Here is a 19,242-nt window from a genome sequence, read left to right on the forward strand (position 1 = left end):
CAAGGGACAGATATTTATTTTGCGTATGGTTTTGACTTTTTAGTGTACAGAGCCTCGGTCAGCACCATTATCTTGGAGATTAGGGAATGTCTCATCCATGGTCATGGTGTTATTTTCTCCATGAAACTGAGACCTACAAAGGTTTCATAACTTGTTCAAGGTTGCACATCCATAAAGGCTGAGAACTGCAATTTCAACTCAGATCTTGGGTCTCCAAAGCCCATTCTTGCTCTACCCTAGCAGGGCCAGTATAGTTTTCTGCAGAAGGTACATTGACTCAGGTCCAGGGTACTTGATTTGGCCACTGTGTAAGTAAACCTGAACCTGAAGACCCTCATAAATCCTCCTTCTGAGACACAGGGGTATCTTGGGAAAAGCCTCCATAGATGTTTAGTTCAAAGCAAAACATGAAAATAAAGGAACATCCACTTTCACTACATCATGAATTTGAATTTCAATTGAATTCAATTGTGATGTTGGTGACTTTTTCTTCAACTGCTTCATGGGGGTTTGTCTTTAAGTTTTAGGCCAGAGATGGGTGATTAGGTGGAAAAATCTGTACCAGCGCCAGGCTTGGTCCAGCTCCCAAGCTTCTAATCACCTCTTTCAGGCCCAATCCTTATCTGAGAAATGAAGTTACAATTTAAACAGAGTCAGGTGTGTGTGTGTGTGTGTGTGTGTGTGTGTGTGTATCAACAAATCTCACTTCTTGTCTTTTCTTTCTAACCTCTGATGCTTATGTCTTAGAAACAGCCTTCTGTGCTGGGTCCTTTTGGGTCATCTGCCTTGAGTTCATCTTGTGTTAGGCTTGTATTAGAGGGCACTCTTTTTATGGTGACAGAAGCCCAGCTTAAACTGTCATAGAATTTACCAGCCTATATAAGTAAATATTCAACTAGATTCAGAGCCAGTAGGAATGAGAGTCTTGAATGCCACCAGGAATTCATTTCTTCATCTCTCTTCTCTGCTTCTTTCAGCCTGTCAGCTTTATTCTTTTAAGACTGGCTTCCTACATTTAGTTGGAATTACATTTCTTGATAGTTCTTATGCCTTACAACTTTTATCTTCATTTTTTTCTCCGATTTTCATTTGAAAGATCTCAAGGACAGGTTCTGATTGAGTAGCTTTGGCTAAGTGTCCATCCTAGGACCAATGAAATGTGGTCTGATGGGTGGAGGACTTTGATTATGCTCTCCCTGCAATGCGATAGTGGGAGTGTGAGGAGTAGGAACTCTCCAAAATAAGGAGGATGGTATTGCCATTCCAGAAGAAAGGATACTGAACAGACAAAACCATGACACCTATGATGGTGACCTGCCATAGGTAAGCTGAATCAATAATGCCAGGATCACCTGCTAAAATAATTATTATTTTTTTCTTCTCAAGGAAACATTAATTTTGGAGCATGGTTAATATTGTCAATGATGTCTTGCTCACCTTTGTACTTTTCACAATGATTAACATAGTGCCTTAAACAGAAGAAAAAAATAGGAAGAGAAAAAACAGGACAAATGATGGATTTCTCTTTGGGGACAATGACATTTATTCTAGCCATTAACCCCTTATTGGACATCTTCAGGTGTTTCTTGGTTGCACTTGCTCCCCTTTGCTCAATCCAGAAAACACAAAGAAGCCTTTTGCAGGCTATTTTAGCCGATAGGTCTCAGAAGTTGCCTATGCACTGCATCATGGGTAAAATTTGGGTTAAAGATAATTGTAAATACGGTATTGATATCAACTGATGTTTTCCCAACATTGCAATAATGCTTGTTTTGTTTGTTGGAGAGTTTATTACTTTTTGATCAATAGAATGTGAGATTTGTGGGTGAAATTAGCATAGTGAATAACAATTAGGCAAAAAATCAATGGGATTCAGACAAATATGGGACAATTTTCTCTCTCTGTCTCTCTCTCTGTCTCTCTCTCTGACACACACACACACACACATACACACACACACTTTAAAAACTGTAAGGCATCTTATTTACAATTCCAAAGCTCTAGGTGGGGATGGGAGTATATATGGTTCCCATGAACTAGAAACAAATAGGTACCAAGAAACCGTTTGCAGATTCTGTTTTCAGGACACTTAAGATCTTTGTATGCTGAAAAACCTGGAACATCAATATCCATTAATTCCTTTTGTACTCTCTTCATTTTTAGTTTAATTAAGAGTCACTGAATCCCTTATCTTTATCACCTCTCGCCTGGGTGCTGTGGCTAAGAGGTAAAGCAGATAGAACTCTAGTTCTCCCATAGTCTCACTTTTATTTCTTTTCTTCTTTCAACATTATTTCATTGGTGGCCAAAGCAAAGCATTTACATACTATGCCATTGAATCATAGGCAATGAAATTAAGAGAGACCCCAGCAATCACGATTCAAATCACTCCTAAGAATGGGACAGAAATCCCTGAAACTAGAGTTTGTCCTCAAGCATTCACTTGCGTATTTCTAATGACAGGGAACTCATTACCTCCCAAGGCAATCCATTGTAATGTGGCACAGCTCTGATGGCTAGAATGTGTTCCCTTATATTATATGGAAAACTGTTCCCTGAACATTCTCTTATTGGTCCTGGTTGTCCTCCAGAGTCAAAAAAAACAAAAGAGGAAAAAAGAAAACTGTGATTGATTTATTGCCTTGTGAGATTATAGGCCATTTCCTGTATTTTTTTCTTTAAGAAAAATGGTCAAGGCCAACTATTATATCAGTTTTTGAACATCACTGTATTCTAGGCACTGGAGTAAGAACTTTTCATACATGCATCATCTCATTCACTCTTACACCTTAGCACAGAAAGTAAAAATATGTACAGAACTCAAATACTTTTCAGTATCTGCATTTACATTGAAGTATCAGGATTTCCTCTGGCTGTTGGATGTGAACAGCCTTGAAGGGAACCACACTGAAACATGTTCCATTTCCCTTCCCTTCTGCTTGTTGGACAGAAGAAGCCACAGGAGTTTGGAGAATGGGAAGAAAAACTTCCATTTATTTTACAGATTTATTTTTCTCTGGAGATCAGATTAATGCCATGATTACTGCTCTGTGCACCTTGTATGTCCTCAAAGAGATGACCCCACATTTCTGTGAATGTCCAATCTGATGTGTGAGCCGTCTTTGACTCTTTGTTGAAAGATGGCAACCTATCTGCAAAGGAGAACCCTCTGATCCAGCATCCACATCCCGAGTATCCATCCATTCTGAGTGGAGGGCATTTTCAAGCTTCCTCAAGAAACGCATGTTGACTGTGAGCTCCTTAAAAACCATGTTTCTTCTTGTCTCCTGAGCCTCTGGAAAATGTGGTTCGGATAAGTTACTAAGTATATATTTGTTGGATTAAGTACGATGATTGGGATATAATACAGTTCTCAGCTCTTACATTTTGTGGTGTGTCTAAGAATTCCCTGAGAACATCAGTGAAGTGTATTTACAGCATTGGTTCAACTCCTGGTGGACTCTAACATCTGTGTATCATGGTATTTGAGGATTCCATGGGGTTCGTTGCCATGTCTGAGAATCCTAACTATATATCATCCTATCTGATAATTCCTTATGGAATATCTCTGTAGCTGAGAATTTCCTTCCACTGCATGCCTGCTCAGAAAACAGTGTTTAGAATAATGGTCCTGCTTGGCTCTGAATTGGGCTGGTTAATAATCATTGCTGGGGAAATCAATCAAATCTATGATATCTTATTACTTACACTAATTTAATCACAGGGAACGGATCACTGTTCCAGTTCAAAGGGCAAAAATTGTGTGTGTGTGGAGGGGGGGTGTATGGGGGAGAGAGAGAGAGAAGAGAGAGATTGAAGAGCAGAGGGTACGTTAAGCAAAGAAGGTAGTGAAACCCTGGAGGGAATGACCTAATCTCTACAACATATCATATGCCATATTCAGCTGAACTTTAATTTGTACCTGAAAGCATGTTACTTTTATTCCAATTGTATTCTGAGAATTGTGTTCTGAATAATTTTTGAGATCAGAGAAGGCAATTGCTAATTCCCTAATCATACAAATTAACTGAGTATGATTTTTAGTAAAATTGCTCACATGTGATTACTGCAGCCAACCAAGCTGGCTCCATCCTAGGCAAATGAGTAGATGACAGCCAGCCAGGATGGAGACCATGAATATGCAGGATCAATGATGGTCCAGTCTCTCCAGGTTTATGAGTTAGTCTGTGTCAATCTTGTACATTCCCTTTTATCACCTTTCTGTCCACCCTAATCTCAAATGCCACAGCCTCCATGAAGCCTTTTCTGAAGAGGCCCCCAATCAGGTGAGAGCTCTTCCTCTTCGGAATTTCACTCTCATTTTGTGGCTCCAGAGTGGGTGCTAATTACGTGGTCTACCCCATCTTTCTTTCTATTGAGCAATGCCACTCTCCTGGTCCATGGGGATTCTGGTGGAGGTTTTAGCCAAAGACCCCGCTCTTCTGGCCCAGACTGGCCAGTAAAAAACCCATGTTCTTGGACACAGAGGTTGGTCCGGGATGAGCTGATCAGAATCCTCTTTTGATTATCCTGTTGAGTTTGGAGGAGGAGACACTCTTGAGATTGCAAATAGCAAAGACCAAAAAGCTACAGTTTTCATCCTGGCATCCCTCCTGTTTTTGTATGGCTCTGCCTTAGTCCTTTGGTCCTGTTTTGTAAAATTTCCTATCTTCTCACTGGTTCTAATATAGAGATGATATTTTTTTTTTTCTCAAGACCCAAGCCTGATTGATTGGCAGAGACTGCTGCTGGAGTAATGTGTTAAGAAAGAGACCGGGTCATGCCTAGGGTCAAGGTAATATGTAGGGTCAGCAGGAAGAGATTGTGATCTATTAGTTATGTCTTACATGGGCACAGGAGTGGTTGTAAACAAACCAGGTGTTTGCCATCCTTTATCTAGTGACATATCCTATTTCTTCTCAGTGATTGGTATGAGTCCTGGATTTGGGCAACAACCTATTTCTATCACTTGTCAAATTTGTCACCAGGAAAGCCACAGTGGCCACCTCATGAACCAGGTCAACCAGACTTTTGCCCTTCAGACTTTAACATTAATTCTTTGGGTCCTCGAAGGCTGAAGTCAGTCAGAAGAATAAATGACGCTACATTCTGACAAATTCAAGGAGTGTGCAGCATAGGCTGGGAGGCCCAAGATTGTAGGCCCAGGGCAGTCCATGCAGCAAATTCACTTACATTAGCTTTCCAATTCAATGTTCAATTGATTACTTTTGTGTAATCATGGTCCACTGGGGATTTTGTATGATCATTTGTGACCAGAGACCATGCATGCGTTTTTTTTGCTATTGCATCTCCTATGCCTGGTACACAGTAAGTGCTCAATAATGTGTTGAATGAGGGAATAAATAAATCAGCAAATTAATGTACAAACTCTCTAGCTCATATCAGAAGTCAAAACTGATTCAGAATTGATATTTATGGAATACTATTTGAGCTGAAGTAGAAGGATCTAGAAAGGATACATTCAGTTTTTATATTTAGGATGTAGAACCAATAGGATTTGGTGGTAAAAAAAGATAATGCTAGGAGAAAGGGAAGAGGGCAAGAAGTCTCCCAGATTTATGACTGGAGCAATGAGTGGCTGGTAGTGGCATTCATTGAGATGCTCTTCCAAAGCACCTGTGTTGGCCTTGTCATAAGAACTTCTCATACTCTATTTTTATTGGCTGAGTATTTCTCTTCCTTTCAAGCCAGGTAGTACATTGAGGGAGGCACTGTGCCTATCTTGTATAGAATTGCATTCCCAGAACCTAGTTCAGTGCTGGGACATAGCAGGTCAGTAATAAATACTGAGTACCACACGTGTGTTGGTACCAAATAGCCATTGATGATGATGAACCACTTAATAAGTATATAATGACACTGTATTTCCATTTATTATGACAGGGGCACATGTTACCTAAAAGCAACTTCCAGTCACTTGTGAAAAGGATAAGGTGCAAACCTTGTTTCACATAGCTCAGAACTGTCCTCTGGTCTAGTGTAGACCTGCCAATCTACCATGGTATTAAAATGCAAATTTTGTATGAGCTTCAATTACTGAAAGTCTATATGAAGTTTATGAGGCTTAACCCATAGCTGGTTCCTGTTCACAGTCAAAGGCCAATGAATGGTCAATAAAAGCTGCAAACAGCTTTCCGTTATTCCTGATGGATTTCTCTGTAAGATGACAGAGTGTAACAATGATCAATAGTGGAACAACCATTTCTGAAGGCCTCTTGTGTCAGATAGAATATATTGATATGAAGGAGGGCAGCATCAAGTTTTGTTGGTATGTCAGCCTATGGTTTTGGGTAAACAGAGGATAGCTCCTCTTTAATAAAATAGGATAGATTATGTTTGAGTCCTTCCAATAGAACCTGGCACATAGTTGGGGCTCAACAAATGTGCCTGAGATAATCATCTCGGAAGAGTTGGTTTAAGAGAGACTTATTGAGTTGGTTAAGGGGAACATATTGGTGAGTATTGGAGCCCAGGGATTAGTTGTCACTATGTCCTCCTCCTGTCCAGGAAGAAAATGGATGGAAGTGGCATTTTCTACTAACTGAATGATGAAGATAGCTTCTTTTTTTGTATTTGTTACAGAAATGCCCAGTGCTGTCTGGTCTAGTCTGATTTTAGGAGGATCAGAATTGAAGATTTATCCAAGGATGCTGCTATGTGATGAACAGAGAATGTGAGGACTGCTATTCTAGGAGGGCACGCAGTATCATCTGATGTACAAATGTTTAATTTCTCAGTGCCTCAAGATTTTTTGCAGACAGTAATGATTGGGGAGCAAGTAAACAATGGCCCATTTATAGATATGAGAGGTCTGGTCTTCGCTGGTCTTCGCAGGTTTAGTAATCATGTGCTGTTAATAATCCTAACAACACAGTTACGATCATTTAGACAGTGGTTCTCAGTCCTGGCTGCACAGTAGAATCAGCTGGGAATCTTGGAAAGTACAAATGTGGGAGTCCCATTCTAGAATAAGAGCTCTGTGGGTGGGACTGGGTATCAGATTTTTTTTTTTTTTAAAGCTTCTCAGGTGATTGTAATGCACAGCCAGGGTTGAAAACCATCAATTGGCCCAATAGAGAAATAGTGAAATTCAGCAGACACTGTTATTTTCTGACTCTATTGAGGTATCATTGACAAATAAGAATTGTATCTATTTACAGTGTTTCATGTGATGTTTTGATATACATATATATGAAATAATTACTGTAGTCAAGTTAATTAACATATCAATCACCTCACATAGCTACCGTGTGTATGTGTGTGTGCATGCATAGTGAGATCTTCTCTCTTAGCAAATTTCAAGTATACAATGCAGTATAAATTAACTACAGTCATCACGCTGTACATCAGATACCTAGAGCTTAGTCATTGTGTGTAACTGAAACTTTGTAACCTCTGACCAATATCTCTCCATTTCCTTCAACCCCAGTCCCTGGCCAACTACTATTCTACCCTCTGCTTCTACGAGTTTGACTTTTTTAGGAACCACATATAAGTGAGATGATGCAGCGTTTGTCTTTCTGTGTCTGGCTTATTTCACTTGGCCTAATGTCCTCCAGGTTCATCCATGTTGCGCAAACACTTTTTTGATGGAGAAAAACTGTTTTATTTGATGACTAACTAGGCAGTGAATTCCTTTAAATGGGATTGGAAAATCTTTAGAATTAGATATTGTTAACTAAATAATAGGTAGCTGGACTTTGGGGTAGCTGATTTCATTGTTGTCTATGCCCTAGGAAGGGAACAATATAAAAATTAATTTGTCCCTTGTCCAGACACTGGTTGCAATCATTGCCTAGGATTTTCAAACTTTGAGGAAGGCTGACGAGCGTATGGTGATTAACTGGCATACTATAGATCTATTGAGAATGCTTCGAAGTATGTAGCTTCTCAAGGAATTCTACCCCAGCAAGACACAGGGGAAGGCTGTCCTTGGGTGTGGGAACAAGAAGTTGGACTTAGGAGTTAACACTTCAGATGGTAATTGGAGGGGTAGCTTTCAAAGCCTCTCGTTTTTCTGAATCAAAAAGAGAAATGGTTGGTGGGAGGAAATGGCCCTGTGCTGGTTGGCATACATAGGTTAAGAGAAAGAGGAGCTCTTGTTGCATGTGACTCCGTGGTTAACTTTTTATATGGATAATTGTTAGTGAAAACCCCCATGGGATGTTAGTAGCTATGACTTGATGCTGTGGACAGCCAGCCATCACAGATAGGTTCCTACAGGGCTTTGCTGTGGGATGAGGATGGCTCACCACCCTGTAACTGGCTCTTAAAAGGGAGCCACGTGTAACGGCTGATCAAAGTAGCACCAAGAAGGGCTGATATTTATTTGTTAAAGAGAGAACTAAAATTTTCCTTGTCATTTGTAGACCACATTTTTTTTTAAAGGCCTGCTGGATCTGAGAATATATTTTTTGGCTACTGGTTTTACTTAATATTATTATTAATGGGTATGATGGGAACTAAACTTGTTTCATTATTTTAAGTAATCAACTGGCCTATAATAAAGAGATATTACCAAGTAAGTATTATTCAATAAAGGAAAGGATTGTTTCTATTAAAAACATGAGTCTGTATATCCATGATCTTGTGTATGTGTCTGGGGTTATGCGTCTTTCAAGACTCTCAGAATGGGTCAGTTCATTCTTCTCGTTTGACTAATGAGTCTACTGAGACTTGATGGGAGTATCCAGAGAGCTATTAAATAATGTGGAAATTGAGCTGATTCATTTTCTTTCTTTCTTTCTTTCTTTCTTTCTTTCTTTCTTTCTTTCTTTCTTTCTTTCTTTCTCTTTCTTTCTTTTTTCAGACAGGGTCTCACACTGTAATTCATGCTGGAGTACAGTGGTGCAATCATGGCTCACTGCAGCCTCCACCTTCTGGGTTCAAGCAATCCTCCCGCCTCAGCCTCCTGAGTAGCTGGACCACAGGTGTGCATTGCCATACACAGCTAATTTTTAAAAAGTATTTTTGATAGAAGCAGAGTCTCACCATGTTGCCCAGGCTGGTCTCAAACTTTTGGCCTCAAGTGATTTTCTTGCTTTGGCCTCCCAAAGTGCTGGGATTACAGCTGTGAGCCACTGCGCCCAACTTCATTCCTTTTCCCTAGAGGATTCTTTGCAGGGAGGATAAGTGAAGGAAGAATCTTGCTGTGAAGCAGAACCTCTATGAGGTCACACGATGATGGCTCTCTGCAGTATGAACAGAGAGAGAGAGAGAGACGAAAGGGCAATCACTGTCCATTCTCCCTCCCATTGCTCCTGAGACCTCTTCTTTACAATCAGGCCTCCGTGCTGCTGCCCTCCTTGTGCTGTGTCTCTTTGTGTGAGTGGATGAAGTGACTGAAGGCAGATCCAGGGAGCAGAAAAGAAGTCATGAAAGGGAGGACCAGAGGGTGTCTAGAAGGGCATCTACTAGTCATTTGATGGCCTGTGCGTATTTGGATAGAATCCAGAGAACTATTAAAAGTGCTTCCCAAGAGAGCCAGATTGCCTGGGATCAGATCTCTGTTATGCCTCTTATTAGCCATGTAATCTCAACTCTTAGTTTTCCCATATGTATAATGGGATGGTGACAACAATAGTCAACCTCATAGGGCTATTTTGAGCGTGAAATGAGATATTACTTGAAAGTGTTTAGAATAGTTCCAGGCACATAGTAAGGGTTCAACATAAGCTAGTTATTATGGCTTTTATGAGATTAGCTGAGAAATTCAACATCTATGACTTCCTAAGGTGGATGGTCATTCGTTCGTTCAACAAATATTTGCTGAATATTACTGTGTGTCAGGTCTCATGCCAAATACTCACAAATGAATTACAAATGGCCTCTCTTTGAAGGAGCAAGAAGGACTGGTTTGTTGTTTATCCCAGGAATACTCCAGCAAGCTTGTACAACTTGCCTTATTTTGTTGTTGTAGTTGTTGTTTTGCTTTGTTTTGCTTTAGGCTTTTCACAGCCTGAAGCCATGGTTTTTAGTTTCTGTCTCTAGTGATAAGTGGAAATGGGGGATGAGAAAGGGCTTTACTGGCCCAACCAGAAAGAGAAACTAAGAACCCATAAGTGTATTCTCTCCCTTGGATACCCCTAAGGGGTAGACAATCAAAAAGAAAGAACGGCAAAAGAACAGTGTATTCAGCAGCCCAAATGCACATGGAAACCTCTCATTTTTAAAGAGGATGAAGCCGTGGAGGCCGGAGCTTCTCTGGGGTCTGGTGTCATGATGGTCACACCAGCAGTAGCAGCCTGTGGGTGGGGAGGGGACAGAATGACCCCAGGCCTTTCTCTTTCCTGTAATCTAGATGTGAGGCTTGTGAAGAAATTTCCTAAAAGCAGCCTATTGAACTCAAGTTCCCCATCTCAGTCTCAGAGAAGTGGGAAATAGGGCCTCCTTTCACAGACTCCAAGGGCAGGAATTTTCGCCTTTCTCATGCAACAAGCAGCCAGCTCCTTCAGGCCTCATAGAAGTTTCAGCTACTGACTGAGGCTGGTTTGGGATAAGAAAAACATCCTCTGCTGAGGTCTCATGGGGCCTGGGTCAATGGCTCTGAACTGCAGGGAGCTTCGTGGGGGCAGGCTGCTGTGGTCCTAGCTTGCTTTAGATTGTAATAATTAGAGAATCTATACTTGGCAGAGGTGAGCTGGATCATGGAGATAATTTCGTTCAATCCTATCATTTTGCAAAGATAATCCTTTACAACTAGAGAAGACCAAGTTATCCTTATTCTCTGCCCAGTTCTGTTCCTTACTCAGCAAAAATCTCTTCTCTCTACTAATAGTTCATAGGTCTTTGTCCACCAAAAGTCCATAAGGATTCTGCCTGATTCATTTGCATATGACTCATATGCTAAGAGCTTCGTACCAAAATGTTAAGTGTAACATATTTGAACTACACTGTGATATTTCATCAAGAGTTGCCAAACTATAGCATGGAATATACAAAAATGTTCACTTCAAGTTATTAAAAAATTTGTCCTTTATTACTTAACGTAAAGTTGGAGTCCATTATAGGAATCATCTCTATCATCACCATTGTACCCATCATCATCCTGGTGATCCCCACGGATCATCAGCAGCAGCATCTCTGTCATCATCATCATCATCATCATCATCATCATCACAACAGATAACATTGCTAGACCAGTGGTTCTTAAAGTGTGGTCCTACATCAAAAGCATTAGCATTACTTGGAAAGTTGTTAGAAATGCAAAATCTTAGAGCCCATTCTAGACTTAATAAATCAGAAATTCTGGAGTCAGGCCCGGAAATTTTTGCTTTAACAAGCCCTCCAGGTGATTGTGAGTTGGAGAACCATTGTGCTAGACTGTGCCAAGGGCTTTTAACACCTTATCTCACTTATTCCACAGAATAACCCACAGTGATAAGTACCATTGTTGTCTTCATTTTAAGAAAACTGAGACAGAGTGAAGTTGAGTAACTTGCCCAAGGTTCCACAGCTTGTGGCATGAGGCTTAGCTAGAGCCTGTAATGCATTTACTTTGTTGCACATAATACATTTTCTTCTTTTTAATTTAACTTTTAATTTATTTTATTTTATTTTTGAGACACAGTTTCACTCTGTTGCCCAGGCTAGAGTACAGTGGCATGATCTTGGCACACTGCAACTTCTGCATCCTGGGTTCAAGCAATTGTAGGGCCTCAGCCACCCGAGTAGCTGTGATTACAGGTGTGCGCCACAACACCCGGATAATTTTTGTATTATTAGTAGAGACAGGGTTTCACCATGTTGTCCAAGCTGGTCTCGAACTCCTGACCTCAAGTGATCCGCCTGCCTTGGCTTCCCAAAGTGCTGGGATTATAGGCGTGAGCCGTGCGCCCAGCCTAATTTAACTTTTAAGTTCAGGGATACATGTGCAGGTTTGAGAACACAATATATTTCCAGTGAAGTCAATATCTGTGACTCTGCTTATCCTAACCAATTCTATGAACTACAAAAAAGAAGAGTAGTAAATCCTTTAACAGCCAATCCCTAACAATATCATGGAATTGCAATTTATTTTTACTCAGCTTCATCTTATGCAGTCTATAACCACAGGCTTGAGGTGGTGACATGCCTTCAAATCCTGCTTCATCTTCCCTTGAAGTAAAGCCAAAGATGATTTCCTGGGCAGAATGTGGCCAATGAGGTCTGCAGCAGAGAGAACAGGAGTGGGCAGAGGGGGATAGGGTGGGACCAGCTGCAAAATACTTCCTGAGTACAGAAAGAAGGGATGAAGGAGAAATGAGGCCAGAAGAGAAAATAAGTTAATAAGCAGAGACCACTATTCGATGAAACAAATACTGTGATATCCATTGTACTGACAAACTAAAACCTGGGGAGGTTACATGACACATGCGATACCAGTAACGGGGAAACAGATGATCTGGGATTTGACATTGGTGTTTCGACTCTTAATCCAGTGCTTATTCTACTATAGCGCAACTGGAGCAACTGAAGATGAAAACCAGCCATATGAGGTTATGATGAGACACATGTGGGAACATATGCCCTTCTTGGAGTTCATAAAATTCCAGGAGTTGAATGAACCCACCGAAATTGAATGCAAAGTTATGATGTCGTGGTGTATGTGTTTATTTTATACTTATATACACATGTGTATGTGTGTATTTGTGTGTATATATGTACACACACAGGTATATACACATATATAAATCTGTATTAGTCAGTGCTCTCCAGAGAAATAGAACCAAGAGGTTCTATATATATATTTTTTGTTTGTTTGTTTGTTTGTTTGTTTTGTTTTCTGAAACGGTCTCACTCTGTCACTCAGGCTGGAGTTCAGTGGCCTGATCTTGGCCTACTGCAGCCTTGACCTTCCAGGCTCAAGCGACCCTCCTGTCTCAGCCTCCTGAGTAGTGCACCACCATGCCTGGCTAATTTTTAAATTTTTTCATAGAGATGAGGTCTCACTATGTGGCAGAGTGATAGATCTCATTATGTTGCCCAGTGGGCTTAAGCAATCCTCCTGCCTTGGCCTCCCAAAGTGTTGGAATTACAGTCATAAGCCACCACACCCAGCCTGTAATGAGATTGACAATAAGGAATTGGCTTATGCAATTATGGAGGCTGAGAAATCTCATGGTCTGCCATCTGCAAGGTGAAAACCCAGGTTAGCTGATGTGTAGTTCTAGTCTGAGTCTGAAGGCCTGGCAATCAGCAGAACTGATGGTGAAAGCTCCAGTCCACGTCCAAAGGCCTTAGAACCAGGTGAGCTGATGGTATGAGTTCCAGTCTAAGTGCTGCAGAAGACTGATATTTGGCTCATAAACAGTTGAGTGGAGAGAGTGAATTATCCCTTACTCTGTTTGTTTTTGTGCTATTTGGGCCTCTAATGGATTGGATGAGGCCCACCCACATTGGAGAGGGCAACTTGCTTTACTCAGAATACTGATTCTCATCCAGAAATATCCTCACAGACATTCCCAGAAATAATGTTTAACCAAATTATCTGGGCACCCTGTGGCCCAGTCAAGTTAATGCATAAAATTAACTATCTTTCTCTGTCTAGTGGAGAGAGAGAGAGAAAAAAAAAAGAGAGGGAGAGAATGACTTTCCTATTTCTATTCCCATATGGGTCGTGGTAGATTGCATTATTCCAAAGATGGCCGCTTGCGCGCGCGCTCTCTCTCTCTCTCTCTCTCTCTCTCTCTCTCTCTCTCTCTCTCTCCCCCCCCTCCCCCTCCCCCTCCCTTTCTCCCTCCCCCTCCACGCACTCCCCATCTCCCTCTCTGTCCCTTACAATCTAATCAGCAGTCTTCCTACTTAGAGGTGGGGTTTGTGTTGCTTTTTCCCTAATTTGGACAAGGGTTGATTAAAGCTCCAACAAGCAGATAATGGAGAAAAATGATATCCTGTGGCTTCCACGGCTGGGTCATCAAAAGGATACAGCTCCTTTTCTCTGCCTACACACTTGTCCTTGGAAACCAGCCACAGTGCTGCCGGGAAGCTTAAATGAGCCTGTTTGGAGGGACGACAGGAGAGGGGCTGAGATCTCCCCAGTCGACAGCGAGCATCAACTGCCCCTGTGTGAGTGAGCGTTTGAATGGTCCCAGCCTCCAGCCTTCAAGCCTGAGACCCCAGGGATGGTGCAGCAGAATCAAGCCATCCTTGCTGTCCCACTTGGACTCTGACCTACAGAATCTGAGAGCACAATGAATGGCTGTTTTATGCCACTGAATTTTGAGGTGATTTATTACACAACCCTAATAACAGGAGCACTACTTCCAATCTTTTTCCCACCCTGTAGCCCAGACGTTCTTTCTAAAATGTTACTGTGGCCCTTTCATGGCTCAGATCAAGGCTGTTCTGTGGATCCCTATTGGCCACAAGGTAAAGGTTTGTGAAAGGAAGCTCTCTGCCTATTTTCTCAGTCTTGGAACTTTGACTATATCTGGCCGCAACCACAAAACACCAATTCAGACCTATGGAGCTGCTTTGGGTTCCCTGAAGCCATTAGTTTCCCAAACCTGTGTCTGAGCAATAAAACACTTAGTCATGAAGCAGTTTTCACAGGTTTACAGCGAGAAAGGCTGAAAAAGTAGAATTTAATTTTTATGGTAAGATTTTCTTTTAGGTAAATCTATTAAGTTATTAGAATGGTTTCCATCCCCAACCTTCTTTTTTACTTCCTAAAATTCACGTTTTTTTCTAATTTTTTTGGTGCTAAAAATGTCCTCTCCTTAATGAAATAATGGGACTACCTTGTTTCCTGTCTCTGCTCCTGCTGTTTTTCTGTTAAAGTCCTTACTAGGCAAAATAAAAAGTTGGTCACTAAATGCTATTCCCTCAATTAAAAAAAAAAATCCTGTACTTGAAATAAAAGTCTGGGAACCACTGACCCACATAGTGTAGTCTAAACCACTTAGCATGGCATTAAATCCTTGATGCCATATTAGTTAAATTCTGTTCTAATTGTATGATAATTGGGTCCACCAACAATGTGATTCCACACTATGCCCCTCAGGTAAGTGATGAATGTCTGAGAAAATTGGGTGCTTGGTGGAGCATTATTTCTTTGAGAAATATGTCTGAAGGCACAAACCATTGACTTAGGTTAAGTTTTAAAACACTGCCTCCTCTGAAGTTAGGCGTTGCTAGCTCATAAATAATTAATACAAACCATATAGCCACTCAGACATACATGTGTGCATACCTACATCACACATGTCATCACTCCCACACTCATATTAACTTCATACACCCACACTGATGTTAAAATGCCTGCACACCCAGACAAACATGGCAGCTGGAGAGATACAGAGTTCTGCAAGTGATCCAGCGAGGTGACTAAGCTAAGCTGTGCTTCCCAGTTCCCATCCATTCCCATGGAGATCCATCAATCTCCACGTATCTGCTTTCAGGAGCTCTTTTCCCCAAAGTCCTTGAAATAAATTTGTAGCCTGATATTTGAGAATGGCCAGTCTGAGTTCTACTTACATAACTCACCCATGCCCTTGACATTCCCCCTTGGATTTGTCCATGCACAGCTGATCCATCCCCTGGACCAGGACAAGGCTACAGCTCAGAGGCCCTCTGGTGGAGAAAATACTTGTATTTTTTTTTTTTCCTGGACTTGCAGCTATCTGGTCTTGCTTCAGTTAATCAGTTTCCTGCCACCTAGCTGGGATAATAGTTCATCTTGGGTTTGTTGACCTCTGTCTCTTCCAGTTGCCTGGTGTTTGGTGATTCAAAGGGTGATAAATAAACAGGATTCATAATCATAGCATGCATGATTAGGAACACTTTCTGACCATTTCAATCCAATTTGCATTTAGGTCTGGTTAACCTGAGGGGCAGGCATGTTAATCTTTACACAATACGGATTGATTACTGACTTCTCAAATTTTTCCTCCTTCAGATGACAAGCCCCAGCAGCCTGAAATTTGTCAATTTAAGATAGCACCCAAGGAGCACAACAAACCTACTTTAGGAAAAAAAATTAACTTGGAATAAATACATTACTTCCGTGCAGAGCAAGAACATAAAGTTATACCCCAGGGACAGGCACCACCTATAACCTACTGCACCCCTGCAATATCTTGGTGCCTCATTAGATTTATTAATGAGGCTGGCACATCACTCTACCCAGCCCTATTGTTTAATAGGATCGGTGGACATTGACCAGCACAGATGATAAATTTGAGAGAGGCTCTATCAGCATAAGGTTTGGGACTGGGGAAGCAGATGGAAATGTTTTCCCTTGACCTCATAATCCTTTATGTGTCTTCCTTGTGATGACATTGTATTATTTAAAGTGCACAGGATCTATAGCACCTCCTTGGAAATGTCTAGGAATCTGGGGATGAGTCTGTGACCTCCATGGAAAATGTTAGGAATTCTATCCAGATGTGCAGGTTTCTTTGCTCTGGCCCATGCTTAACCATGGAACTGCAAAAACAGGAAAGCCTTAGAGGTGTTTGTGATATCATAAGGTACTTGCATTTTTCAAGAGCATAACTTGGACTTTACATGCCTCTAACCCTAACTGGCATCTCTTATGGTGCTTAGCAGGTGCCTACAGAATGTTTATTAAATAGATGGACTTTGGACTGTTCAGGGGCTTGATGAGTTCCTTGCTATCAGTTGAGCAAAAGTAGTAGAGGATGTTTTATTCCAAGAAGGGGAACCTGGGTGGTCTCTGTGTGTGTGTGTTTCTTTTCTATTTGCTTTTCCCTATCATATTGAACTCATTACCTTCATCGGGGCTGTTAGGACAGATTCCTGACTATTCCCCCTCTCCATTGGAGGTCACTTCTCATCTTGCTTCCTTGATTTCCACAAGAGGAAGTTAACATTATCCTGAGTGTGACTGTCCTGTGGCATTTGGAGCCATTCTTAAAGTACAACACTGGATTATTTCATCACAAGCATTTGCCAATGATTATAATCGAGGGATCATGACCCCTCAGTCTCTTTTACAATGCCTCTGGAGAGAGATAACATTCAAGGAGGATTGCTTGCTTCAAGGACCTGTAATCTACCTCTTCTTCCAAGTATTCCAAATTAAAAAAAAAAAAAAAAGGGAAATAGAGAGCTGAGTACTTGGACATTGTGCTGGTTCCCTTTAGATCTGCTTCCATGGAATGGTCCTTTGATAGAATATATTGAGGTTCTGATAAGAAACAGATCTATTAAGTTATAGTTAAGTCCATTTTAATGATACTATTAAGTGGTGTTTATTATAGCATACCTTGTATTCTTTATAAAGACTTCTGGGAGATATTTTTATCTGGTTTCAGTGCCATAAAAGGTTGGCTAATTAGCAAAGAGTAGGACCTTTACCTTTATGAGCTTCATAAACTTTCGTAAGCGTTTAGTTTGTGTGTGTGTGTATGTGGGCATGTGCATGTGCTTATTTCAAAAAATTTCCAAAGCAATGAAATGAAAGAGATTTTCCCTGAAAGAGGAACTATTATTCATCCTTGAAGGCCTATCTTAACTATATGGCCTTGAGACTTTCTCAGTGGCTGCTAGGGAGGTAGAAACTTCTGCCTCTGGGCCCCGGGACCACTCTGTTCTTTAAAGTCATCAGTTGCAATGTGCTTGGATTTGTGTGGCCATGGCTGTCAGCCCCACTCACCTGGGAGCTTGTAAAAGACAAGACAAGGCCTTCTGGGTAGCCCCCAGAACCTCAAACACGGGAAGGTGCATTGTCACTTAGACATTTTACCTCAGCCTCTTGATCTTCACTGACTTGTGGACTCTCAAGTATGCTTTGTCTATGTGTAATTTTGTAATAGAGCGTTGGAAGAGAGACTGGCATTTTTGGATAAATTAATCTCTTAGTGAAGACCTTGTAGTTCTATTTATTCTTTCTAGTGAAATGTGTGTGTGTGTGCGTGCATGCTTGAGAAGGAGAGAGAGAGAGAGAATTTGATTTATTAATCAAGACATGCTTCAGTTACTGAATGGGAAGAGGACCAAGAGTCTTTGGGCTTATAAGTTAGATTTGACCCACACATTTACAATGCTTCTGCTTCAAGAACAAGGTGCTCTTTTATATTCTTTTCTTAATGAATCTGTGACCAGGTCATTCTCATTTTTGGATTTTAGAACAGGTCTATTCGAGATAAAAACTGTGCCCCTGAGGTTTGCTTTCTAAAACACAGGTGTTTCAGATTTTTTTTTTTTTTTTTTTTTGCTGATTTGGTTTTAATTCCGTCCTTTCTTTAACCACATCTTTTTTCCTTTCTAGGAGCAATACAAAGTTCAGACACGTTCTGAGGTTGAGTTTTGGTGACTTTAGCAGAAAGTCAGAAGAAAGCTGACAATTTCCTTTTCTTCAGTGATGTGCATGGTTTCCAGGCCTTTCTCTGGACCTATGATTCACTGCCATGGAGTGGAACTTTAACACCCCTAGACTGTGGAAGCTCATCCAGCTTTCAACAGTATCACCTAGAGGCAATGAAAAGCAATCAGAATCACAGACCAACCTCATGCCAAGAGAATCTTCATTCAGTTGTGGTCTGCTTTGTACTGCTTGAGCATTTGGGGTTTGAAAAATTAAGGAAAAGAATAGGGGGAAGCCCCAAGATGAAAATACTGGTTTTCTTGCCAATGTTTTAAAAGCAGCTCAAGACTTAAATTTGAGTTGAAAATTTCTTATAGCAAATGTGACTTTTGGGCTTCTAAAAACAAGTCATCCTGGTTATGCCTGGTTGTTGAAAGTCTGCATAATTATGTTATCTTATGGACATGTTTGTATCTCTTCAAAATTCATATGTTGAAGCCCTAACTCAGTGTAACTATATTTGGAGATAGGGACTTAATGAAATAACGAAAGTTAAATGAGGTCATAAGAATGGGGCCCTGATTCAATAGGATTAGTGTCCTTTTAAGAAGAGATAAAAGAGAGAGCTTTCCACCCTGTCATCCCCCTTCCAGCTCCCATGCAGAGCATGCACAACAGAAGAGATCATGGGAGCACAGAGAGAGAGGGTGGCTGTCTACTTGTCAAGAAAAGAGGTCTCAGAACTCATCATTTTTTATGGCTGCATAGTATTCCATGGTGTATACGTGCCACATTTTCTTAATCCAGTCTATCATTGTTGGACATTTGGGTTGGTTCCTCACTTTTGTTGAATTTAATAAATTTGAATTTTAAAATCTAAAAAAAGAAAAGAAAAGAAAATAGGTCTCAGAATGCAACCCACATTGCTGCCATGTTGATACTGGACTTCTAGCATCTAGCAATGTGAGCAA

The sequence above is a fragment of the Homo sapiens genome, chromosome 20 (genome assembly GCF_000001405.40).
Source record: "Homo sapiens chromosome 20, GRCh38.p14 Primary Assembly".
Classification (NCBI taxonomy): Eukaryota; Metazoa; Chordata; class Mammalia; order Primates; family Hominidae; genus Homo; species Homo sapiens.